Here is a 27,078-nt window from a genome sequence, read left to right as displayed (position 1 = left end):
AAATGGAAGAACATTCCATGCTCATGAGTAGGAAGAATCAATATCGTGAAAATGGCCATACTGCCCAAGTTAATTTATAGATTCAATGCCATCCCCATCAAGCTACCAATGACTTTCTCCACAGAATTGGAAAAAACTACTTTAAAGTTCATATGTAAACAAAAAAGAGCCCGCATTGCCAAGTCAATCCTAAGCCAAAAGAACAAAGCTGGAGGCATCATGCTACCTGACTTCAAACTATACTACAAGGCTACAGTAACCAAAACAGCATGGTACTGGTACCAAAACAGAGATATAGACCAATGGAACAGAACAGAGCCCTCAGAAATAATACCACACATCTACAACTATTTCATCTTTGACAAACCTGACAAAAACAAGAAATGGGGAAAGGATTCCCTACCTAATAAATGGTGCTGGGAAAACTGGCTAGCCATATGTAGAAAACTGAAATTAATTTTTGTAATTATACAAAAATTAATTCAAGATGGATTAAAGACTGAAATGTTAGACCTAAAACCATAAAAATCCTAGAAGAAAATCTAGGCAATACCATTCAGGACATAGGCATGGGCAAGGACTTCATGTCTAAAACACCAAAAGCAATGGCAACAAAAGTCAAAATTGACAAATGGGATCTAATTAAACTCAAGAGCTTCTGCACAGCAAAAGAAACTACCATCAGAGTGAACAGGCAACCTACAGAATGGGAGAAAATGTTTGCAATCTACTTATCTGTCAAAGGGCTAATATCCAGAATCTACAAAGAACTCAAACAAATTTACAAGAAAAAAACAAACAACCCCATCAACAAGTGAGCGAAGGATACGAACTGACACTTCTCAAAAGAAGACATTTATGCAGCCAACAGACAGATGAAAAAATGCTCATCATCACTGGCCATCAGAGAAATGCAAATCATAACCACAATGAGATACCATCTCACACCAGTTAGAATGGTGATCATTAAAAAGTCAGGAAACAACAGGTGCTGGAGAGGATGTGGAGAAATAGGAACACTTTTACACTGTTGGTGGGACTGTAAACTAGTTCAACCATTGTGAAGACAGTGTGGCGATTCCTCAGGGATCTAGAACTAGAAATACCATTTGACCCAGCGATCCCATTACTGGGTATATACTCAAAGGATTATAAATCATGCTGCTATAAAGACACATGCACACATATGTTTATTGCGGCATTATTCACAATAGCAAAGACTTGGAACCAACCCAAATATCCAACAATGATAGACTGGATTAAGAAAATGTGGCACATATACACCATGGAATACTATGCAGCCATAAAAAATGATCAGTTCATGTCCTTTGTAGGGACATGGATGAAGCTGGAAACCATCATTCTCAGCAAACTATCGCAAGGACCAAAAAACCAAACACCACATGTTCTCACTCATAGGTGGGAATTGAACAATGAGAACACATGGACACAGGAAGGGGAACATCACACACCAGGGCCTGTCATGGGGTGGGGGAAATGGGGAGGGATAGCATTAGGAGATATACCTAATGTTAAATGACGAGTTAATGGGTGTAGCACACCAACATGGCACATGTATACATATGTAACAAACCTGCACGTTCTGCACATGTACCCTAAAACTTAAAGTAAAATAAAAAATAAAAATAAAAAATAAAAAAATAAAAAAAAGAAATTACATTGCTAAAACAGTCAATAAATATCTTTTCTTAGGACTAGATGGAAAGTAAAAGCAGCTTGAGTATATATTCATCCCAAGTATGCCTTCATACTTGGATACGTAGACAGTGCTACGATCCTATTCTTTGCAAAAATATTCAGATTATTGATGCAAAATAACACGTTCTAAGTTAAAAATGGCAGGTTGACAATACTCATTTATTGTCTTCCTATATACTCCTCATATTCAACTGAAAGAATAGAAAATCTATGAAAACATGTCTCATTTTTTACTCCTATAAATTTCAAGTTATTCAGGATTATCTTTTGTAAATTGTTCACAGCCTTCATCCATTCTTCTATTGTTTATATTTTTCTTGTTAATTTATGATTTTATATATAAATTATATTTTACATACGAATTCTTTGCTGGTTTTAGCCATTATAAATATTTTATCCCAACCCATGGTTTTGGTATTTATTTATGATGTCTTTTGTCAAATAAAGGAATTAAACTTAGCAAAAATAAAAAAAAAGAAAATGCTGAGTTATACAAAGTTAAATACCTTTCTTCACATCATAAACTATAGATTTTAGAATAACCATACATATTCTGACTCTCCAACAAAAAGAGTACATTTCTATACACAATATTTCTGAAACATATTTGGGTATATAACAATTTTTTCATAAAGGATTTCAAAGTTCCACATTGTATAGCATGATTTGGAATTAGTCTTTAAAAACCTTACAGTGCTAAAAAGCTCACAGGGTGGAATGCAGGAAAAGAAAGCCCGGATTTTTAGCATTTGCCCATTTCCATGATGTAAATACTCACATCATGGCCAATGTCAGGGTGCTCTATGGAAGAGGAGAGATGTACACAACTGGTTCTCATAAAACAATAAAAGCCATCTGCAGCCCATCATTTAGCTAACTCCAGGACAGCATATTATTTTTAGCTAATATATTAATGCTTAAATTGTAAAGTCTAAAATAAGATGCTAATTTACCAAATAAGAAGCATCACTTCATGTTATATATTTGCCACATATTTAAAGTATATCTCAGTAACAAATTATTGTCTAACTCTCTATCTTACAAGTAAAAAAGATAAATGATAAACTCTAAGAATGCCACACTGCAAAACAGGACAAATCTAAAGGTTCCTATAAGCCATTTTATTATTTTATTTATTTAATTATTGCAAGCTAAGGACTGAGTTCAAAGCAGGATGAGGTTTGGACAACAGACCAAACTTGTATTACTTTCCTGTGGCTATGGCAATAAATTACAACAAATTCAGTGGCTTAAAATAGAAAAATCTAAAATCAGTATCACTCAGTTAAAATCAAAGTGTCAGTAGGGCCACACTACTTCCAGAAACTCTAAGAAAGAATCCATTCCTTGTCTTTTTCAGGTTCTGGATCTCGCTTAACAATATGATTGGGTAACAGTCATGTTTTATTTTATTGTTTTCTTCTTCTTTGTTTTTTTCTTTAGTCCCCAGATCTGTTCCATCCAAACACTGTTGAAGCAAGGAACAGATCCGCGGGACCACCAAATGCACCGCCAACAGTCATGTTTTAGAACGGTGGTCTCTAAACCTTTTTGATTGTACATTCCTATTGGTTAAAAAAAAAGTTTTACAACATTCCCAAATTATGGTTATCAATTAATTTGGAAATTATATGTGTAACTGTATTATAAAATGTACACAAAATTAAAAATTTAAAAGGATAAGATAAAAACATGGAATTATATCTGTTTTAAGGTTATTCTGCTACTCTTTCTTTCTCACTGTTTGTTTTCTGCACCACAGTGGCTCATTATGCGCATCACCTTGGCATACACATCTACCATTTTGGATTGTATTCTCTTAAGGGTTGAGTCTAAGGAACAAGGATTTCATAGAAAATGCACTGGGGCAAGGCATTGGAGAAGGGCTTAAATTTAGGAAGAAGTCCATTTTAAATTGGAGTATGGATTTGTTTAAAAGATTAGAATGCATTTAGAAAATTCTTATGCTTACTATATTAGTTTCCTCTGAAACTAGCAAACAAGTTATCTGCTTCCAAAATGCAATGGTGAAATAAGCATTGAATAACAGTTAAAGATATTGCCATTCCAAAAGGGAGAAAAGAGGAGGAAAAAGGTTCAACAGTCCCAAGCCATTTTGAAATCCAGAAGGGCAAATTCCATTAGGATTCAAAGCCTGGGAATAATCTTCTGTGGCTTGAGGTGAGTCCACAGCTTCAACCTCTACATTGGTGGTTCTGACCTCTGCACCTGAATCCAGCCTATGGGCCTGGCCACAGGCCTCTAGGCCTGTAGCTCCTACCATGAAGTCATTCTTCCTTTTCCTTTCTTTTTCAAGCATATGTTTGCAGCTGAGCAGTTTTATCAGCCTGATTCTGGCATGCAGAATTTTAAAAGTCTGACAGCCTTCTTTCATTTAATCCTGTCTTTCTCCTTTCAGTCCAAGCTGGCAGTGTTTCTTCTGATTTAATATTTCCAAATCCCCAGTGGGTCTCCTGTGTATGCACAGCAATCCATGTCACTAGGCAAAGAGAGTCTTCCACAGATCTTTCTTGTATAACCTCCTCTCTATCCCTGGCTTCTGCTATAACAATTGAATGGATCCAGGAGTCAAACATCCAATCCCTTCAACACTAGGAAAAGTTGACCAGTCACACCCTCACTTCTCTCCAGAGTGAATCTCAGTTTTATCAACTTTGCAATCTCAATAGGCTGAGAATTTCCCAAATGATTGAGTCCTGGTTTTGAGGGGTTTTATTTGTTTGGTTAGTAGCATTTATTCCCTCAATTTAACTCTTTCCTCTTGCACTTTATTATAAGCATCAGGAAGAAACCAGGCTGTACCTGGAACACTTTGCTTGGAAATTTCCTCAGCAAAAACATCCACATTCACTGATCACAAGTTATGCTTTCCACACAACTGTGGCAAACAATTGTGCAGCTAAGTTTCCACCACAATATAACAAGGATAACCTTTCTCCAGTTCCCAATATCATGTTCCTTATTTCCTTCGAAGTCTTCACCAGCACCTTTAACAATATTCCTACATGTACATTTTGCTTATAACAATATATGTATTATCAAAGACTATATATTTATAGGCTCTAATATGCTCCTCACTTCCTTCGGACCCCTCACCAGAAATGCCTTTAACATCCATAATTCCACTGTGCACTTCAAAATTCCTCTAGCCTCCACCAATTATCTAATCCCAGGTATCTGTTACAGCAGCACACCATATCCTGTACCAAAATCTCTATTACTTTCCTGTGGCTAGTGTAATAAATTATAACAAGCTCAGTGGTTTAAAAACAGAGAAATTTAAAATCAGTATCAGTCAAAATCAGCGTCAGTAGGAGAGAATCCATTCCTTGTCTTTTTCAGCTTCTGGTGGCTAACTTGGCTTGTGGCTATAGCATTCTAATCTCTCAGATGTGTGGTCAAATCTCCCTCTGTTTTCCTCTTATAAGGATACATGTGACTGCATTCCGTCCCACCAGAAATCCAGGAGGACCTCTTCATCTCAAGATTTTTAATTTGCAGATATGCAAAGAACATGTTCCCATATCGGTAACATTTCAGGTTCCAGAGGTTAAACACCATTAGAACTTTAGAAACCATTGTTCAGTCTTACTGCATTTATTTACTGTAAAAATATATTTATGCAGAAAAATATAGAAATATACTGACACATTAACAGAAATTGTCACTAAACAATAGATTAGAAGTTTCTTTTATGTTAACATTTCCCCAAATTTTCCACAATACGTATATTTTACTTCTTAAAACTTGGAGGTGGAGAAGGAAAAGAAGGAAAACACTCTAAAAGAGTTACTTGTGGGGACAGGGGACAACTTGACTTCGTTTTTGGCAGGACTAGATTTTTTCATTAAATGAACTGGCAGCAATAAGCAATATGAAAGGCAATTAAGAAACAATTCCACGTACTAGCATTTAAAGAATACCTAGGGGCCGGGCGTGGTGGCTCACGCTTGTAATTCCAGCACTTTGGGAGGCTAAGAGGGTGGATCGCTTGACCTCACGAGTTCAAGACCAGCCTGGGCAACCTGGTGAAACCTGGTCTCTACAAAAAACACAAAAATTAGCTGGGCACAGTGGCATATGCCTGTGGTCCCAGCTACCTGGGAGGCTGAGATGGGAGGATCACTAGAGCCTGGGAGGACGACAGGGAGATTGAAGAGAGCCAAGATCACTTCACTGCACTCTGGCCTGGGCAACAGAGCAAGACCCTGTTTCAAAAAAAAAAAAAAAAAACACCTAGGAATAAATTTAATGAAGGAAGTGGAAGACTTGCACACTAAAAACTATAAAACATTACTGAAAAAAGTTTAAGGCCAGGAGTGGTGGCTCACACCTGTAAGCCCAACACTTTCGGAGGCCAAGGCGGGTGGATTACCTGAGGTCAGGAGTTCGAGACCAGCCTGGCCAACATGGTGAAACCCCGTCTCTACTAAAAATACAGAAACTAGCTGGGCATGGTGGTGTGCACCTGTAATCCCAGCTACTCGGGAGGCTGAGGCAGGAGAATCACTTGAACCCGGAAGGCAGAGGGTGCAGTAAGCCAAGATCGCACCACTGCACTCCAACCTAGGTGACAGAGCAAGACTCTGTCTCAAACAAAAAAAAAGTTTAAAAAGACGTAATTAAATAGAAAGCTATCCCATGTTCATACATTGGAAGACTTAAAACCGGCCAGGCATGGTGGCTCATGCCCATAATCCCAACATTTTAGGAGGCCAAGGTGGGCAGATCACTTGAGGTCAGGAGTTCGAGACCAGCCTGGCCAACATGGTGAAACGCTTTCTCTACTAAAAATACAAAAATTAGACTGGCGTGGTGGCACCTGCCTGTAATCCCAGCTACTTGGGAGGCTGAGGCAGGAGAATCACTTGAACCCAGGAGGCAGAGGTTGCAGTGAGCTGAAATCACGCCACTGCACTCCAGCCTGGGGACAGAGTGACACTCTGTCTAAAAAAAGAAAAAGGAACACTTAATATTGTTATAAGACAGCAATAATTCCCAAAGCCATCTACGGGGTCAATGTTATGTCTATCAAAATTCCATCACTATTTTTGTTTTTCACTTGATTACTTTTTTTTGTTTTGCAGAAATGGAAAAAATTACCTAGGATTTTTACGGAAGCCTCAAATTCACGTGAAATTACTAGGGATCCTGAATGGCCAAAACAATCTTGGAAAAAAAAAAAAAAGAACCAAGTTAAAGGACACACACTGCCTAATTTGGGGACTTAACTAAAATGCTACAGTAATCAAAATGGTATGGCACTAGCACAATGATAAACATATAGACAATGGAATAGAACAGACAGTCTAGAAATAAACCCATACATCTATGCTCAGTTGATTTTCTAGTAGGGTACCAAGTCTATTCAGTGGGAAAAGAATTCAATAAATGGTGCTAGGACAACTATACATCCACATACAAAAGAATGAAGGTGAGCCCCTATTCATATGATATATAAAAATTAACTCAGGCCAGGCACAGTGATTCACACCTATAATCCCAGCACTTTGGGAGACTAGGCAGGAGTATCACTTGCATCCAGCAGTTTGAGACTAGCCTGGGTGACGCAGTAAGACTCCATCTCTACAAAAAATAAAAAATAAAAATTACCTGGGTGTGGCAATATATGCCTGTAGTCCCAGCTACTCAGGAGGCTGAGACGGGGGGATTGCTTGAGGCTGGGAGGTCGAGGCTGCAGTGAGCTGTGACAGCGCCACTGCACTCAGCCTGGGCGACGGAGTGAGACCTTGTCTCAAAAAAAAAAAAAAAAAAAAAGGAAAAAATTAACTCATATGGATCTGTGAGCTTCTTTTAAGTTAACTCTTAAAAGAAAACACGGGAAAATCTTCATGACCTTAGATTTGTCAATGGATTCTTCTTGACATCAAAAATTGACATCAAAAGCATAAGAAACAAGAAAATAGAGTGATGTTAGCAAGGTGGCCAACTACAAGTTCCTAGCACTGCCCCCCACACCAAAACAAACAAACAAAACAATAAATAACAACTACATCTTGATGAAAATAACTAAAGGAAAGTACCAGAATGCAGCAAAGGAGTAGAAGCAACTCTATATATAGAGCACAAAAACAGAGTATGGCCATGTAGAGAAGGGAAGAAAAGACCTTGTCTCCACCACTACTTCCCCTGACAGGGTCAGCTTGAAACCAGGAGGGACTTCTCTCTTCCAAGAAAAGGTAAACAAAAGAACCCCAACAACCCTCACCACCACCGTGAACACCCACAGTCTTCACCACTGTGGACTTCTGCAGACCTCATAGGTACTGAGCCCAGCTGAGGGAATTGTTCAGAGTCCATACGGCTGTGTTCACCCCAAGGAAGAATCCTACACCTCCCTCATCTTCTGTAGCCCAACCTGCTACTGTGCTACACCATCTTGAAAGCAGAGCCTCTCTGGGAGTGCATCCTGCTCTGTAGGCAAATAGCTACTGTACCCTTCCATCCCTGAGGTTTTGTTATCACTGCACCATGCCTGTCTGGTGACCTGCCATCCTCAAGCCTACCTGCTACAATGCCCTACCCTTGGGGTCAAGCTGCTATGGAGCCACTCCATCCCCTGCATCCCAGTTGTTTCTGTGTCCTACTCCTCAGGGTCTAAGCTAATGCAGCACTTCACCTTCTGAGAAATAAGGACTTTGGCCAAGCAGAGCAGTCACACCTCTGACACCTGAGCCAAAGCAGCACCGGAGCTGACGTGGCACTCCAATTCCCAGGGAACCTGTGCACTGGTCTAGCCAAGCAGTTGATCCCCCTTGGCACCTGAAACATGCAGGGTCCCGCATCCCAGGGAAATAGAGCATTGGTTGAGCTGAACCACCCTGTCTTCCAGGTGGAACGGATGCAACACCCTACTTCCACAGAACTGGACTAGTCCCCAGCGTCTACGCTGCTGAGGCATCCCACTTCCTCAGAGAGTAGAGTCGTCATTGTGCTACTGCTTGCCCTCCAGGGCCCAAGACACAGCTGTGCTCCACCATTACTGGGTAACTGTTGTTGCTGCACATGGCCTGACAAAACTTGGGCCTCTGCCATATACTACCAGCCCAGGGTCCAGAGTCCCCACTGCATAGTGCCTCATGCCCCAGGGCTGAGTTTCTGGTGTGTACTCTTGACTCTGGGACTCTTACTCCCTGCGACTCAGGCCTCTGGAGCACCCCTTCTTCTCCAGAGCTATGCCAGTTCTGTGCCCTGCCCCCAGGATTAGAGTCACAGCTACATCCCTGCCCCATGGGAACAAACTGCTGTGGTGAACCTCAGCATCACAGACCCTAACTTTGTGGCCGATCTGCATCTACTCTGACCTCATAGAGTAAATGTGTAGCCCAAGGTGCTACAGAAGTTTCAAGCTCAGCACATTGGCCCCACGGCCAATCCAAGCACGCACCCTGCAGCCCAGCACTGCTGTGACTGCCTGTGGGCCATGTCAGATCAGACACCAAGAAGGATCCCCTCAGCTAGGATCCATCCCGTTGCTGGGAAAACAAGAACTAGAGGACCCCAAAAGTCCTTGCAACTGAGGATCCTAACAACTCATGCTGCCAGTACTGCTGCCACAAGCTCTTAAAAGCTTAAGCCACTTAGGCACCCAAGGTCATCAATGACATTGATTATAGTTAAAGAAGCTGCACAGAAACTACACCAGTGTGCCCACTCAGAACAAGAGTCACCATAACCTGCCCAACTGGTACACACAGGTGAAAGCCTTTCCCTATGAAAACCACTATGTAAAGTTTGGAAGAGGTGATTGTTCCATGAGATGTACAGATATAAATGCTGGACAGGACACACAAAATAGGAAAAAGCAAGGAAATGTGACACCACAAAAGAAACACAGTAATTCTCCAGTAACTGACCCCAAAGAAATGAAAAGTTATAAACTGCCTAAAAAGGAATTCAAATAATGATCTTAAGGAAACTCAGTGAGACACAAGAGAATACAGATAGATAATTCAACAAAACCAGGAAAACGATTAGTTATCTGAATGAGAAGCTCAACAGAGACAGAAATCATTTAAAAAGAACCAATCAAAAATCTTGGAGCTGAAGAATCCAATGAATGAATTTAAAAAAAAAATAGAGCTGCAATAGCAGATTAGAAAAGTAGAAAAAAGAATTGTGACTTAAAAACAAGTGTTTGAAATTAACCAGTCAGGAGGAAAAAGGAAAAAGAATGAAAAAGAGTAAAGAAAGCCTATGGGACTTATAGGACACTATCTGGCAAACAAATTTTCACATTATGAAAGCTACAGAAGGAGAAGGGACAGTAAAAGGGACAGAAAGCTTATTTAATAAAATAATCCACATGTAATCCCAGCACTCTGGAAAGCCAAAATGAGAGGGCTGCTTGAGGCCAGGAGTTCAGGACAAGCCTGGGCAACATAGTGAGATCCTATCTCTACCAAAAAAAAAAAAAACAAAAAAAATGTGTTTTAGTTAGTCAGGCATGGTGCAGCAATCTCTAAATACCAGCTATTTTTGAGAGGCTGAGGAGGGGAAGATCACTTGACCCCAAGAGTTCGAGATTACAGTGAGCTATGTCCATGCCACTGCACTCCAGCTTGGGCAACAGAGCAAGACACTGTCTCTAAAAAAATTTTTTTTAATAAATGAAAATTGCTGAAAATTTCCCAAGTCTTGGTTGAGATACTGATATCCACATCCAGGAAGCTCAAAACTCCCCAAACAGGTTCAACCCAAAGACATCTTTACCAAGATGCATAATCACCAAACTGTCAAAAGTAAAAGGCAAGGAGAGAATTCTAAAAACATCCAGAGAAAACTGACATGTCACATACAAGGGAATCTCCATTATATCATTAGTTGACTTCTCAACAGAAATCTTACAGGCCAAGAGAAAATGGGATGATACATTTAGACAGCTGAAAGAAAACAACTGCAGCCAAAAATACTATACCCAGCAAAGCTATTCTTCAGAAATTAAGGTTACATAAAGACCTTCCCAGATAAGCAAAAGCTGAGGGAATTCATCACCACTAGACCAGTCTTACAAGAAATGCTTAAGAGTGCCACAACTGAAAGCAAAGGGACAATAATTACTATCATGAAAGTATGTGAAAGTATATAATTCACCACTAGAAGTAACTTCAAAATCAAACTCAAAATACCCCAGTGCTGTAATGGTGCTATATAAATCTTTCAATCTTCTAGTATAAACATAAAAAGCCAAAATGGTCAAAAACAACATCTATAATTCAAAGTTAAGGAACACACAAAAGGTAAAAAAGTAAATTAAGGCAACAAAAATATAAATTAAGGATAGGGAAAATGTCTAGAGTACTTTTATGTGAGTAAAGTTAAGTTGTTATCAGCTTGAAATAGTCTAATAGTCTGTTTTAACTGAAAGATTCTTAATGTTAGCCCAATGGTAACCACACAAAAAATACAGTAAATATGCAAATTAGAGAGAAAAATGAAATAAAGCTAGGTAAACAACAAGAGGAAGAAAGGAACAAAGGATCTACAAAATAAACAGAAAACAATTAACAAAATGGCAGGAGAAAATCCCTTTTCTAGGATGAATGTAAATGGATTAAATGCCCTAAAAAAGATATATAATGGTTGAACTGACAAAAAAAAAAAAAAAGATCCAACTACATGCTGCCTACAAGGAACTCACTTTAGCTTTAAGGATGCACACAGGCTGAAAGTAAATGAATGAAAAACATATTCCATGCAAATGGTAACCAAAAAAGAGCAGAGGTGGGTATACGTATATCAGATAAAACAGATGTCAAGTCAAAAACTTTCAGAAAAGACAAAGGTCAGTATTTAATGATAAAAAAGTCAATTCATCAAGAAGACATAATAATTATAAATATATATGTTCCCAACATTGGAGCAACTAAATATATAAAACAAATATTAATAGACAGGAAGGGATGAAACAGCAATACAATAATAGTAGGGTACGTCAATACCTCACTTTCAACACATATCAACCAGAGAAAGCATTAATAAAGAAATACTGAATGTGAACTATACTTTAGACCAAATGGACTTAATAAACATCTACAGAATATTCCATCCAACAACAGCAAAATACACATTCTTCTCTAGTGCACATAAAACATTCTCCAGGATGGACCACATGTTAGGCTGCAAAACAAGTCCTAACAAATTTAATAATATTAAAGTCACATCAAGTGTCATTTTGACCACAATAGTATAAAACTAGAAATCAACAACAGGAGGAATTTTGGAAAATTCAAAAATATGTGAAAATTAAACAGGATGCTCCTGGGCAACCAACGGGTCAAAGAAGAAATCAAAAAGGAAATTTAAAAATATTCTGAAACAAATGACAATGGAAATAAGATATACCAATACTTACATGATGCAGCAAAAGTGGGTCTAAGAGGGAAGTTTATAGCAATAAATAACTACATTAAAAAAAGAAATATTTCAAATAAATAACTAACATTATGCATCAAGGAAATAAAAAAAGAACAAAGTAAACCCAAAATTAGCACAAAGAAGGAAAGAATACAGAAATAAATCAAATAGAAAAAACATAGGGGAAAAAAATCAATCAAACTGAGTTGGTTTTTTGAAAATCTAAACGAAATTGACAAATGCTTAGCTACGCTCAGCAAAAAAGATAGAAGACTTAAATAAAATCAGAAACAAAAGTAGAGACATTACAACAGACACCACAGAAATAAAAAGAATAATAAGCAACTACTATGAACAATTATATGCCAACAAACTGGATAACCTAGAGTAAGTGAATAAATTCCTTAAAAAAATAACCAACCAAGATTAAATCAGGAAGAAGTACAAAGCCTGCACAGGTCAATAACAAACAAAGAGACTGGAATATAAACTTAAAGTCTCCCAAGGGAATAAAAAGCCCAGAACTAGATGGCTTCACAGCTGAATTCTACCAACTTTCAAAACAGAATTAATACCAATATTTCTTAAACTCTTCCAAGGAAACACAGCTAGAGGGAATATGCCTAACACACTTTCAGAGGCCATCATCAGCTCATGCCTAATACAGACAAAGACACCGCAAAAAAAAAAAAAAAGAAAAAAGAAAACTGCAAGCCAATATCTCTCATGAAAATTGATGTAAAAAACCTCAATACCATATCAGTAAACCAAATTCAAATAGCCAAGATGGAGAACCACCTAGGTGTCCATCAAGAGATGGCTGTTTGTGTTGCTATAAAGAAATACATGAGGCCCAGAGCTGAGCAGACCTAATAGATAGCTACAGAACTCTCCACCCCAAATCAACAGAATATACATTCTTCTCAGCACCACATCGCACTTATTCTAAAATTGACCACATAACTGGAAGCAAAACACTTCTCAGCAAATACAAAAGGACAGAAATCACAACAAACTGTCTCTCAGACCACAGTACAATCAAATTGGAACTCAGGATTAAGAAACTCACTCAAAACCGCACAACTACATGGAAACTGAACAATCTGCTCCTGAATGACTACTGGGTAAATAACGAAATGAAGGCAGAAATGAAGATGTTCTTTGAACATTCCATGCTCATGGACAGGAAGAATCAATATTGTGAAAATGGCCATACTGTCCAAGGTAATTTATAGATTCAGTGTCATCCCCATCAACCTACCAATGACTTTCTCCACAGAATTCAAAAAAACTGTTTTAAAGTTCATACAAAACCAAAAAAGAGCCCACGCTGCCAAGACAATCCTAAGCAAAAAGAACAAAGCTGGAGGCATCACGCTACCTGACTTCAAACTATACTACAAGGCTACAGTAACCAAAATAGCATGGTACTGGTACCAAAACAGAGATACAGACCAATGGAACAGAACAGAGGCCTCAGAAATAACACCACACATATAAAACCATCTGATCTTTGACAAATCTGAGAAAAACAAGAAATGGGGAAAGGATTCCCTATTTAATAAATGGTGCTGGGAAAACTGGCTAGCCACATGTAGAAAACAGAAACTGCATCCCTTCCTTACACCTTATACAAAAATTAATTCAAGATGGATTAAAGACTGAAATGTTAGACCTAAAACCATAAAATCCCTGGAAGAAAACCTAGGCAATACCATTCAGGACAAAGGCATGGGCAAAGACTTCATGACTAAAACACCAAAAGCAATGGCAACAAAAGCCAAAATTGACAAATGGGATCTAATTAAACTCAAGAGCTTCTGCACAGCAAAAGAAACTACCATCAGAGTGAACAGGCAACCTACAGAATGGGAGAAAATTTTTGCAATCTACCCATCTGACAAAGTGCTAATATCCAGAATCTACAAAGAACTTAAACAAATTTACAAGAAAAAAATCAAACAACCCCATCGAAAAGTGGGTGAAGGATATGAACAGACACTTCTCAAAAGAAGACTTTTTTGCAGCCAACAGACATATGAAAAAATGCTCATCACTACTGGTCATGAGAGAAATGCAAATCAAAAACACAATGAGATACCATCTCATGCCAGTTAGAATGGTGATCATTAAAAAGTCAGGAAACAACAGGTGCTGGAGAGGATGTGGAGAAATAGGAACACTTTTACACTGTTGGTGGGACTGTAAACTAGTTCAACCATTGTGGAAGACAGTGTGGCGATTCCTCAGGGATCTAGAACTAGAAATACCATTTAACCCAGCGATCCCATTACTGGGTATATACCTAAAGGATTATAAATCATGCTGCTATAAAGACACATACACACGTATGTTTATTGCTGCACTAATCACAATAGCAAAGACTTGGAACCAACCCAAATATCCAACAATGATAGACTGGATTAAGAAAATGTGGCACATATACACCATGGAATACTATGCAGCCATAAAAAAGGATGAGTTCATGTCCTTTGTAGGGCCATGGATGAAGCTAGAAACCATCATCCTGAGCAAACTATCACAAGGACAGAAAACCAAACACTACATGTTCTCACTCATAAGTGGAAGTTGAACAATGAGAACACTTGGACACAGGGTGGGGAACCTCACAGACCAGGGCCTGTCGTGGGGTGAGAGGGAGGGGGAAGGGATAGCATTAAGAGAAATACCTAATATAAATGACGAGTTAATGGGTGCAGCACACCAACATGACACATGTATACATATGTAACAAACCTGCACTTTGTGCGCATGTACCCTAGAACTTAAAGTATAATAATAATAATAATAATAATAATAAAGATGTTCTTTGAAACCAATGAGAACAAAGCTACAACGTACCAGAATCTCTGGGGCACATTTAAAGTGGTGTGTAGAGGGAAATTTATAGCACTAAATGCCCACAAGAGAAAGCAGGAAAGACCTAAAATCAACACCCTAAGATCACAATTAAAAGAATTAGAGAAGCAAGAGCAAACACATTCAAAAGCTAGCAGAAGGCAAGAAATAACTAAGATCAATGCAGAACTGAAGGAGATAGAGACACAAAAAACCCTTCAAAAAATCAATGAATCCAGGAGCTGGTTTTTTGAAAAGATAACAAAATAGATAGATGGCTAGCAAGACTAATAAAGAAGAAAAGAGAGAAGAATCAAATAGACGCAATAAAAAATGATAAAGGGGATACCAACACCGATCCCACAGAAATACAAATTACCATCAGAGAATACTATAAACACCTCTACTCAAATAAACTAGAAAATCTAGCAGAAATGGATAAATTCCTGGACACATACACCCTCCCAAGACTAAACCAGGAAGAAGTTGAATCTCTGAATAGACCAATAACAGGCTCTGAAATTGAGGCAATAATTAATAGCTTACCAACCAAAAAAAGTCCAGGACCAGATGGATTCACAGCCAAATTCTACAGGAGGTATAAAGAGGAGCTAGTACCATTCCTTCTGAAACTATTCTAATCAACAGAAAAAGAGGGAATCCTCCCTAACTCATTTTATGAGGCCAGCATCATCCTGATACCAAAGCCTGGCAACAACGAATAAAGAGAATTTTAGGCCAATATCCCTGATGAACATGGATGGAAAAATCCTCAATAAAATACTGGCAAACCAAATCCAGCAGCACATCAAAAAGTTTATCCACCACGATCAAGTTGGCTTCATCCTTGGGATGCAAGGCTGGTTCAACATACGCAAATCAATAAACGTAATCCAAACAGGACCAACGAAAAAACCACATGATTATCTCAATAGATGCAGAAAAGGCCTTCAAAAAAATTCAACAGCCTTTCATGCTAAAAACTCTCAATAAACTAGGTATTGCTGAAACGTATCTCAAAATAATAAGAGCTATTTATGACAAACCCACAGCCAGTATCATACTGAATGGGCAAAAACTGGACGCATTCCCTTTGAAAACCGGCACAAGACAAGGATGCCCTCTCTCACCACTCCTATTCAACATAGTATTGGAAGGTCTGGCCAGGGCAAAAAGGAAAGAGAAAGAAATAAAGCGTATTCAAATAGGAAGAGAGGAATTCAAATTGTCTCTGTTTTCAGATGACATGATTGTATATTTAGAAAACCCCATCGTCTCAGCCTAAAATCTCCTTAAACTGATAAGCAACTTCAGCAAATTTTCAGGATACAAAATCAATGTGCAAAAATCACAAGCATTCCTGTACACCAAGAACAGACCGAGAGCCAAATCATGAGTGAACTCCCATTCACAATTACTACAAAGAGAATAAAATACCTAGGAATCCAACTTACAAGGGATGTGAAGGACCTCTTCAAGGAGAACTACAAACCACTGCTCAACAAAATAAAAGAGGACACAAACAAATGAAAGAACATTCCTTGCTCATGGGTAGGAAGAATCAATATTGTGAAAATGGCCATACTGCCCAAGGTAATTTATAGAGTCAATGACATCCCCATCAAGCTACCAATGACTTTCTTCACAGAATTGGAAAAAACTACTTTAAAGTTTATATGGAAACAAAAAAGAGCCTGCAGAGCCAAGAAAACCCTAAGCAAAAAGAACAAAGCTGGAGGCATCACGCTACCTGACTTCAAACTATACTACAAGGCTACAGTAACCAAAATAGCATGGTACTGGTACCAAAACAGAGATGTAGACCAATGGAACAGAACAGAGACCTTAGAGATAACACTACACAGCTACAACCATCTGATCTTTGACAAACCTGAGAAAAACAAGCAATGGAGAAAGGATTCCCTATTTAATAAATGGTGCTGGGAAAACTGACTAGCCATATGTAGAAAGCTGAAACCGGATCCCTTCCTTACACCTTATACAAAAATTAATTCAAGATGGATTAAAGACTGAAATGTTAGACCTAAAACCATAAAATCCCTGGAAGAAAACCTAGGCAATGCCATTCAGGACATAGGCATGGGCAAAGACTTCATGACTAAAACACCAAAAGCAATGGCAACAAAAGCCAAAATTGACAAATGGGATCTAATTAAACTAAAGAGCTTCTGCACAGCAAAAGCAACTACCATCAGAGTGAACAGGCAACCTACAGAACGGGAGAAAATTTTTGCAATCTACTCATCTGACAAAGTGCTAATATCCAGAATCTACAAAGAACTTAAACAAATTTACAAGAAAAAAATCAAACAACTCCATCAAAAAGTGGGCAAAGGATATGAACAGACCCTTCTCAAAAGAAGACATTAATGCAGCCAACAGACATATGAAAAAATGTTCATTATCACTGGTCATGAGAGAAATGCAAATCAAAACCACAATGAGATACCATCTCACGCCAGTCAGAAGGGCGATCATTAAAAAGTCAAGAAACAACAGATGCTGGAGAGGATGTGGAGAAATAGGAACACTGTTGGTGGGAGTGTAAATTAGTTCAACCATTGTGGAAGACAGTGGTGATTCCTCAAGGATCTAGAACTAGAAATACCATTTGACCCAGTCATCCCATTACTGGGTATATACCCAAAGGATTATAAATCATGCTGCTGTAAAGACACATGCACACGTATGTTTACTGCGGCACTATTCATAATAGCAAAGACTTGGAACCAACCAAAATGTCCATCAATAATAACCTGGATAAAATGTGGCACATATACACCATGGAATATTATGCAGCCATAAAAAAGGATGAGTTCATGTCCTTTACAGGGACACGGATGAAGCTGTAAATCATCATTCTCAGCAAACCATCACAACAACAGAAAACCAAACACCGCATGTTCTCACTCATAAGTGGAAGTTGAATAATGAGAACACATGGACACAGAGAGGGGAACATCAAACACGGGGGCTTGTTGGGGGCTGGGGGGCTGGGAGAGAGATAGTGTTAGGAGAAATACCTAATGTAAATGACGAGTTGATAGGTACAGCAAACCAACACGGCACATGTATACCTATGTAACAAACCTGCACGTTGTACACATGTACCCTAGAACTTAAAGTATAATAATAATGATTTTTAAAAAAGAAATACATGAGGCTTGGTAATTTATAAAGAAAAGTGGCTTAATTGGCTCACAGTTCTGCAGGAGGTACAAGAGTGGCACCAAAATCTGCCCAGCTTCTAGTGAGAGCCTCAGGAAACTTACAATCATGGCAGAAGGCAAAAAGGGAGGACATCACATGGTGAGACTGGGAACAAGAGAACGAGGAGGGAAAGGAACCAGACTTTCAAACAACCAGATCTTGTGTGAACTCAGTGAACAAGAACTCACTTATCACAAGAGGATGGTAATAAATAATTCATGAGGGATCCACCCCCATGATCCAATCACCTCCCACCAGTCCCCACCTCCAACATTGGGAATCACATTTCAACATGAACTGGAGGGGACAAACACCCAAACCATATCAACAGATGAATGGATAAAGAAACTGTGATATATACAGGTTGAGCATCCCTAATCCAAAAATCTGAAATTCTAAATCTTCTAAAATACTAAACTTTTGGAGTACCAACATGATCAAAAGAAAGGCTCATTGGAACATTTTGGTCTTCAGGTTTTTGAATTTGGGATGCTCAACCAAGTAAGTATATAATACAAATATTCCAAAATCCAAAAATATCTGAAATCCACAACACTTCTGGTCCCAACCACTTCAAATAAGAGATAGTCACCTTGTATATGCAATGGAATACTATTTAGCCTTATAAAGGGAGATCTTGCCATTTGCTACAACATGGATGAATCTAGAGGACATTATGCTGAATGAAATAAATCAGACACAGAAAGAAAATTACTGCATGATCTCACATGGGATCTCGGGGAAAAAAAGTCAAATATACAAGGACAGAGAATACAACAGCAATTACCAGTGGGCAGGGTCGGGGGAGGAAATGTGAAATATAGGTCAGTGGATACAAAGAAGCACACATGTAGGATGAACAAGTCTAAAGATCTAATGTATAACACAAGGACGATAGCTAATTATAGTGTAATGTATTCAGGATTTTTGTTAAATGGGTAGACTGTGGCTGCTCCTGCTGCACACACACAAAATAAGAAACTATGTGAGATGATGAATATGAAGCAGTATAATGTTCTCAGTAGTCTATGAAAAATTGAAGATATAATTGCTAGTACAACCAGTAAAAATAATAATTCAAGGAGGTATAGCTAATAAGCCAACAAGTAAATTAAAATGGAATTCCTACAAATACTCTCTTGGATTCAACAGAAGGCAAAAAAAAGGACTAGAGGAAACAATAAATAATAAAATCATAGACCTAAATGCAACCATATCAATAATTATGTTATTTTAATACAATTTATATATACTCATATATTTTATCACCCCAAGTTACAAATTAATTGGACCAAGCCCTCCAATTAAAAGATAGAGATTGCAACAGCCTCCCATAGTACTAGGATTACAGACATGAGCCACTGCAGCTGGCCTCTTTCTATTATTTATTTATTTATTTTTTAAGTGAACTGTAAAACAGCCTCAGTCAGATCCTTCAGGAAATATTCCAGAAGAAGGCACTGTTATTATAGGAGATGAAAGCTCCATGTGCATTATTGCCCCTAAGACCTTCAAGTGGGACAAGATGTGGAGGTGGAAGATGATGATATTGATGATCCTGACCCTGGGTAGGCCGAGGCTAATGTGTGTGTTTATGTCTTCATTTTTAACAAAAAAAGTTTAAAAAGTAAAAAACAAATCTTAAAAACAGAAAAACACTTATAGAATAAGAATACAAAGAAAATATTTTTATACAACTGTATAATGTTTGTGTTTAAGCTAAGTGTTACTACGAAAGCTTCAAAAAGTTTTTAAAAATTTAAAGTTTATCAAGTAAAAATATTACAGTTAGAAGGAATAAGATCTAGTATTTGGTAGCATAGTAGTACAATATAGTTAACAATAATTTATTGTACATTTCAAAATAACTAAAAGAGTAGAATTAGAATGTTCCTAATACAAAGAAATGATAAATGCTTGAAGTGATGGATATCCCAATTACCTTGATGTCGCTACACACTGCATGCCTGGTTCAAAATATCACATGTACCCCATAAATATGTACTATTATGTACCCATAATACTTAAAAATTTTTAAAAATAAGTAAAGGGAAATTTTTTAAAAAAGAAAAAAGTTACAGTAAGCTAAGGTTAATTTATTATTAAAGAACAATTTTTTCTATACATTTAGTGTTGCCTCAGTGTACAGTGTTTATAAAGTCTACAGTAGTGCACACTAATGTCCTAGGTCTTCACTTACCATTTGCTCAGTGGCTCACAGAGAGCAACTTCCAGTCCTGCCACCTTCATTCTTGCTAAGTACCCTATACAAGTGTATCATTTTTTATCTTTCAGACCATATTTTTACCACATCTTTTCTCTTTAGGTATGTTTAGATACACAAATACCTACTACTACGTTAAAATTGCCTATAGTAGTCACTACAGTAACATGCTGTAAAGGTTTGTAGCCTAACAGAAATGGGCTATACCATATAGCCTAGGTGTGTAGTAGACTATACCATCTAGGTTTGTGTAAGTATACTTGATAACATTCACATAATGATGAAATGACACATTTCTGAGAACATATCCCCATCGTTAAGCAACACATGACTATATACATAAACACAAACCATCATAATGAACCAGTGATCTATCTCACTTGACCCAGTTGTTGATAATTCATACAGTCATCTAGTATGTATTATCTACTATGTGCTAGGTGCTTGGGACACAAGAGCATTCAAAAGAGACAAAAATATCTGTCCCTAGCATTTTATATTCGTTGAAGGGTGGGAGGAGGAGCCAAGGGGAGGGGAGAATAAACATAATGATTAAGTAAATTACATAACATGTTAGAAGGTGATAAATGTTGTAAAAAAAGTAAAATAGAACGAGGTGTTGCAATTTTAAGCAGGTTAGTCCTCACTGAGAAGGAAGCATTGAGAAAATACTTTGAGCAAAGTAAATAAGGGAGTTAGCCATCTAAGAAAAATCGTTCTAGGTAGTGACAAAAGCTAGTGCTAAACTAGACCATACTTGACTTGCTCAAGCATGGAGTAGAGTGAGCAAGGGAAATAATAACAAGAGATGAAATCAAAGCAAACTGGAAAGGAGGAAAGGCACATTTGGAGGGACTTATAGGCCGTTTGGAGGAATCAATGCAAGGTTTCTGAACAAAGTAGAAACATAATTTGATTTTGGTTATAAAAGCCCAAAAAAATGTTTTATGGAAGGTGTTTCAAGGCATATACTCAAAATGAGAAAAATCTCCCCTGAATATCAAGAGTATCTTATTTATAACTTATCGTTAATCAAAGCTTCCTTTGTTCTATTTCTAAACTACTTCATTCAAACTTAAAGGGGTATTTTTCAAGTTAAATATCCCGAAATTTGTTAGTTCACACAAATGTACTTCATCACTTGTACTGCCTTTCCACCTTCTTCTTTTTTTTTTTTTTGAGACAGAGTCTCACCTCTGTCACCCAGGCTGGAGTGCAGTGGTGCGATCTCAGCTCATTGCAACTTCTGCCTCCCAGGTTCAAGTGATTCTCCTGCCTCAGCCTCCTGAGTAGCTGGGATTATAGGTATATGCCATCACGCCCAGTTAGTTTTTGTATTTTTAGTAGAGACGGGGTTTCACCATGTTGCCCAGGCTCGTGTCGAACTCCTGACGCCTGCCTCGGCCTCCCAAAGTGCTAGGATTACAGGCATACGCCACCGTGCCCAGCCTCAACCTTCATTTTCAATCCATTATAATCTATTTTTAATCCAATTTAAATTAGAAAATGAGCTTATTTTTACATGAAGTCTTTCCTCACCTTGCTTATTACAGCCACCATTCTCTAAGTCTTTTCCTTCTTGAATTATGGGAACAGTAACTATACTTCTCTACCTCATTTTTAGGTACATGAGAAACGTATCTGTGACTTATTTAAGACTGAGTCTGGGCCAGGCACAGTGGCTCAAGCCTGTAATCCCAGCACTTTGGGAGGCCAAGGTGGGTGGATCACCTGAGGTCAGGAGTTTGAGGCCAGCCTGGCCAACATGGTGAAACCACATCTCAACTAAAAATACAAAAATTAGCTGGGCATGGTGGCACACGCCCAAAATCCCAGGTACTTAGGAGGCTGAGGCAGGAGAACTGCTTGAACCTGGGAGGCGGAGGTTGCAGTGAGCCCGAGACCACACCATTGCACTCTGGTCTGGGTGACAACAGCGAAACTCTGACTCAAAACAAAATAAAGACTGAGTTCGGCCAGGCACAGTGGCTCATGCCTGTAATCCCTGCCCCTTGGGAGGCTAAGGAAGGAAGATCACTTGAGGCAAAAGTTAAGACCAGCCTGGGCAACACAGCAAGACCCCATCTCTACAAAAATAAAAATACTGGCTGGGTGTGGTGCTTCACATCTGTAATCCCAGCACTTTTGGAGGCCAAAGTACAAGGATCGCTTGAGCCCAGGAATTCAAGACCAGCCAAGGCAACATACTGAGATGAGACCCTGTCTCTACAAAAATTTTTAAAAGTAGCAGGGCATGATGGCAGATGCCTGTAGTCACAACTACTCAGGAGGCTGAGGTGGAAGGATCACTTGAGCCCAAGAGATCAAGACTGCAGTGACTGCACTCTAGCCTGGGTGACAGAATAAAACCCTGTCTCAAAAAAAAAAAAAAAATACAATTACAAAAATTAGCCAGGCATGATAGCACACACCTGTAGTCCCAACTATTAATACTTGGGAGGCTGAAGTGGGAGGATTACTTGAGCCTAAGAGGTCTAGGCTGCAGTGAGCTATGACTACACCATCGCACTAAAGCCTGAACAACAGAATCTGTCTCTTTAAAAAAGTAATAAATAAGACTAAGTCAGTGTCTTCAGAGAACAGATTATCTTAAATAGATGCAAAAGGCAGTTTGTATCACACAATGGGTTATTTCTCTAATCTTTCTCTTATTTTAATCTGTAATTAAGCTCAACTGACATTTTTTAAAGCAACTCAAAGCACTTTATGATAATGTATTGATTTGATCCCATAAACTTAACATTTTACTATCAGAACTACATATATAGCCTGAAATCTGGATGATGTCATAGTCATTAATGAAAATGCCAAGAGCCTATCACCGATTCATTTTCATCCAGAGAAGTCTATTCCTACGTAGCTTTCACTTTATAAATATATACTTTTCCCACAATTCTACTATAATCTAGAGGTTTTTGTTTGATTTTGTTTTCTAAGGAGAGAAACCCACAGAGAAGGAAAATATATATTTTAAACTACATTTGAGAAAGCAGACTTTTTAAAAGAACAAAATTTGCTAGTTCTCTTCCCATTATCATTACTATTTATATTTTCAGCTATATTCCACCCACATTTAAAGTCCCTAAAATGTTCTTAAAAAGGAATTTGGTAAGATCTAAGGATAAACATCTAGGTCTCAGTATAATTTATACCAACTTACTATGACATCTTCAGCCATTCATCACCTTCTGGTTTCCAATCTCCTTTTACCAACCTCTCAAAATTCGTTATAATGGTACCACCTGCACCTAAAAATATGAAAATAAAACAAGAATATTTGGCCAAATTTTCCTGTAAAACATATTTAAAGGGAGCCATAATTCTATCACCTGATAATACATTCCAAGAGGATTCCCAAAATATAATTCTTGGAAAGAAGAAAAAAGTTGCCTTGTACATTTAGGGTACTAAAACAACTGCAATTCTTCCCTTTCACCAGCATGTCAACTGTTAAAACTGGGGCCTCGGGCACAAAGATATGGTTAGAAGTTTGTTTCAGAACTGAAAAATAAAATCCTCTGCTTTATCATTTCCTTTCCTGATACGACCGGTTTCAGGTGCAGTATACTGTAAAAAGAGGTTACAGAGATTTGTTCAATTCCTACATGCAAAACAAAAAGGCAAGTGATGTAAAGTTCAATGATCATGAACCCATAGTCAATCATATTTATTATTTCTAGTAATTCTGAATGAAAAAAACACAGAAAAGACAGAGCAATATTTTTTATTCATATGTACCACATAATTTCTTATGTAAACTTATTTTATTTACAGAGGCACTATACCTTAATTAACTATAAATCTTTCTGGTTCTGGGGATCTTAATCAAACCAATCATAAAAATTTTCTATCATAAGACACTCAGGCTCAAAATAATGGCTTAGGACTAGTACTAGTTTTGAATTAACTTTACCAGCCAACAGAAACAAGGTTTTTACCTTCCAAAAAGTCTCTGTTATTAAAGTATGTGATCCATTAATGTAACTAGAGAATTGTTCAGTAATGGTATTAATAATACACCAACAACAGAATATTTATGAACACATATTGTCAATATTACCTCGGGCCCATCCAATAGCTATCATGACTATCCAGCCATTTTTGTAATAGCTATTAGCATGTGTGACTCCACCTACTATTTTCCAAGTTCTGGTCACTTCCTTCATTCCCGAAGCCAGTAGTTGAACAGGTAGATATGAATAGCCCTGGGAAACTAGGTCATGCGGGCAAAAAAATGTAATATACCTGAAAATGAAATGTAAACATTTTAATATATTAATGGAATCAGAAGAACAGAAATTAAAATCTAACCTAACAGCAACAACAATTTGGCAAAACACAACAAATGGAATTTTCCATATAAACATTTAACTTGATTTCAATAAAAGCACAACTTGGGTAGGGAGGCAATTTTTTAAATCACATGAAACATATGTCATCTGCCAAAAAGTCATGATCAGAGAAGAATGTAAACTGTGGACTTCTGAATACTTTATAGATATATGAAATATTTAGTGAGCTCTTAATTTGTGCCTATATTGTTCTAGAAGCTAAGTGCTGAATCCAGTAACAAAACAAATGTATAATCATTTCCAGGGGTAGGAACTCCTACACAGTGTCTTTGTCCTCTGGGAAAATGAATTAGAGAAAGGGTCCTTTGGTAAAAGCAAGGGCTACATTTCAATCTCAAATAACATATTCACCTGTGCCCCACTGTGCAGGACATAAACTACAATCTATACAAAGGTACATGACGGCTCACAAGGAGGCAGATTTGTATTAAGGAAAAACACATTTCTATACAGCTGAAAGAATATGAAGCTGTTCTTTAATTTAGTTCACTAAGCTTAAGTTTTAACCAAATTAAACTGTGATTAAAAATAATTCATCCCATCTATGGTAAATTATTTTTTTAAACTTCATTTGTTCTAAGCATCTATTCGAATACTAGCAGTAAGATCTATTGGAAAACATACTGCTTTTTTCTCTCCATTCTCCAAATACTCTGGCTGACAATTTTGTGCTTAAAGTAGAACATATCTTCTTTCTAACGGGGTAAATAAAAGACATGGCATGAAAGAATATCATATCTCTTTTAAAAGAAGCTATTAATCTTATTGCAATTCACGATTTATAAAGTCAGAATTCTTCAATGTTCATGAAATATGAAATGTTTGCCAAAATACTGCTTCAGCGACTAAATAAAAAGATACAATAGTCTGTTTAGCCTAAAGCACCCTTTCTTCTTCATCTCCACTTACCAATTCCTTCCTACTCTTCAAGGTGCCACTCAAATATTACCATAGTCATTGACTTTGGGATTCTTATTTTATTTTAACATCTCAGCTCAGACTACATTCTGATGGCTCTGTAAAACTAAACCAATTGGTTCCTATGCCTAAAAATAGCTCTTTATACATTATTCTTTATAATATAAAATAAAGGCTATAATGCTCATAATGAACTACAATAGTTCTTAGATGACAGAAATCATTCATCTTGTTACCCTCTAACCTAAAACTCAGCATGATGAAAAGTAGCCCTGAATTAAATCATTTATTAGCAGTCAATCTGGATTCAAAATCCAAAATACAGCAAATCAAAGCATTAGTTGATAATTAAAGAGTTTGAGAAAAAAGAATAAACTATCTGAGAGTAGTAAAAAGATTTCTGAAGACCATTTGTATGGCTTTAAAATTGTACATGTTCTATAAGATTTTTAAAAACAACTAGTATGATTTAAAATTTTTACACATTCATAGAAAATTTGAAAGTCTGTATAGTTCTCTCTTTGAATATAGAACTAATTTCTAAGAAGTTGGTTAGGTAATGGGGGAAAAGTATACACACTTAATTTTTAAATGTATTTTTATATCTATTATAGATTACATTAAGAAAGGGGGATTTGTTTTCACCTTAGCAGTAATGAGCACCCAAAAGTAAAATATTCAGAAAAACAACCAAAAGAATGTTATAAATGACCCATTTTCATTCCTTACACTAAGCCTAACTTTAACGTGAGTTAAAAACCTATACTATTACAATAGCAATCTTGGACTTCGGTATTCAACTATGTGACATTATAGTATAAGACATTAAAAAATTTGCAATTATTGCAACTCTTCTATTTAATCAGATCTTTCTAAAGCACACCTACAATAAGTTAACATTTTAAACAAAAAAACTGTTTTCATTTGAGAGTTAAGTAGCCACAGGGCAAAAGAACAATTGTTTATTGTGCTCAGTAGACTTACAAGTAAACATATCAGACCAATGGCACACTCAACAACCATTCCTGCTCTATAACAAATTAGCCTTTAAAATTCTTTTAATAAATCCCTCAACCAACACTTATTAGGTAATAACCTTGTAACCCTTCTGTAAACATAATTTCACCTTTAACTAAAATTATCATATCCAAGGTAACTTTAACTTGTAAAGTGCCTAAAGAAAACATATCACAAAATGAGAGAGGAAGTGGAATGAGAAAACAACTGACTTCTCATACATTTAACTATAGGTTAAGTTAATGGAGAGAAAAAATAACGAAAGAATAAACGTCTCAAACGGGATACAAACAAGACCCTAGGCCACAAACAAATGAAATCTCAACCAGTTTAAGAAAA

General features: G+C 37.3%; 1 protein-coding gene across 4 annotated transcripts in view; it reads right to left on the bottom strand.

Moving 5' to 3' along the window:
- Window positions 1–27,078, bottom strand: part of TMEM38B (transmembrane protein 38B) — an 82,089-nt gene that overhangs the window by 30,396 nt on the left and 24,615 nt on the right. For 2 of the 4 annotated variants that reach the window (NM_018112.3, XM_005252075.3), the window contains exons 3-4: window positions 24,513–24,697; window positions 23,613–23,700 (exon numbers count right to left, since the gene is read on the bottom strand). The exons of 1 other annotated variant lie outside the window; for it this stretch is intronic. In NM_018112.3, the coding sequence (NP_060582.1) occupies window positions 23,613–23,700; window positions 24,513–24,697 (273 nt within the window). Of the gene's footprint in view, window positions 1–1,594; window positions 1,623–23,612; window positions 23,701–24,512; window positions 24,698–27,078 lie in introns of all 4 variants that reach the window. One more of the 4 variants, XM_011518831.3, reaches the window with a different exon arrangement.

Source organism: Homo sapiens, chromosome 9 (genome assembly GCF_000001405.40).
Source record: "Homo sapiens chromosome 9, GRCh38.p14 Primary Assembly".
In the NCBI taxonomy this organism is placed as follows: Eukaryota; Metazoa; Chordata; class Mammalia; order Primates; family Hominidae; genus Homo; species Homo sapiens.
The sequence above is the reverse complement of the archived record's forward strand: the minus strand, read 5'-3'. Positions and strand labels throughout refer to the sequence as shown.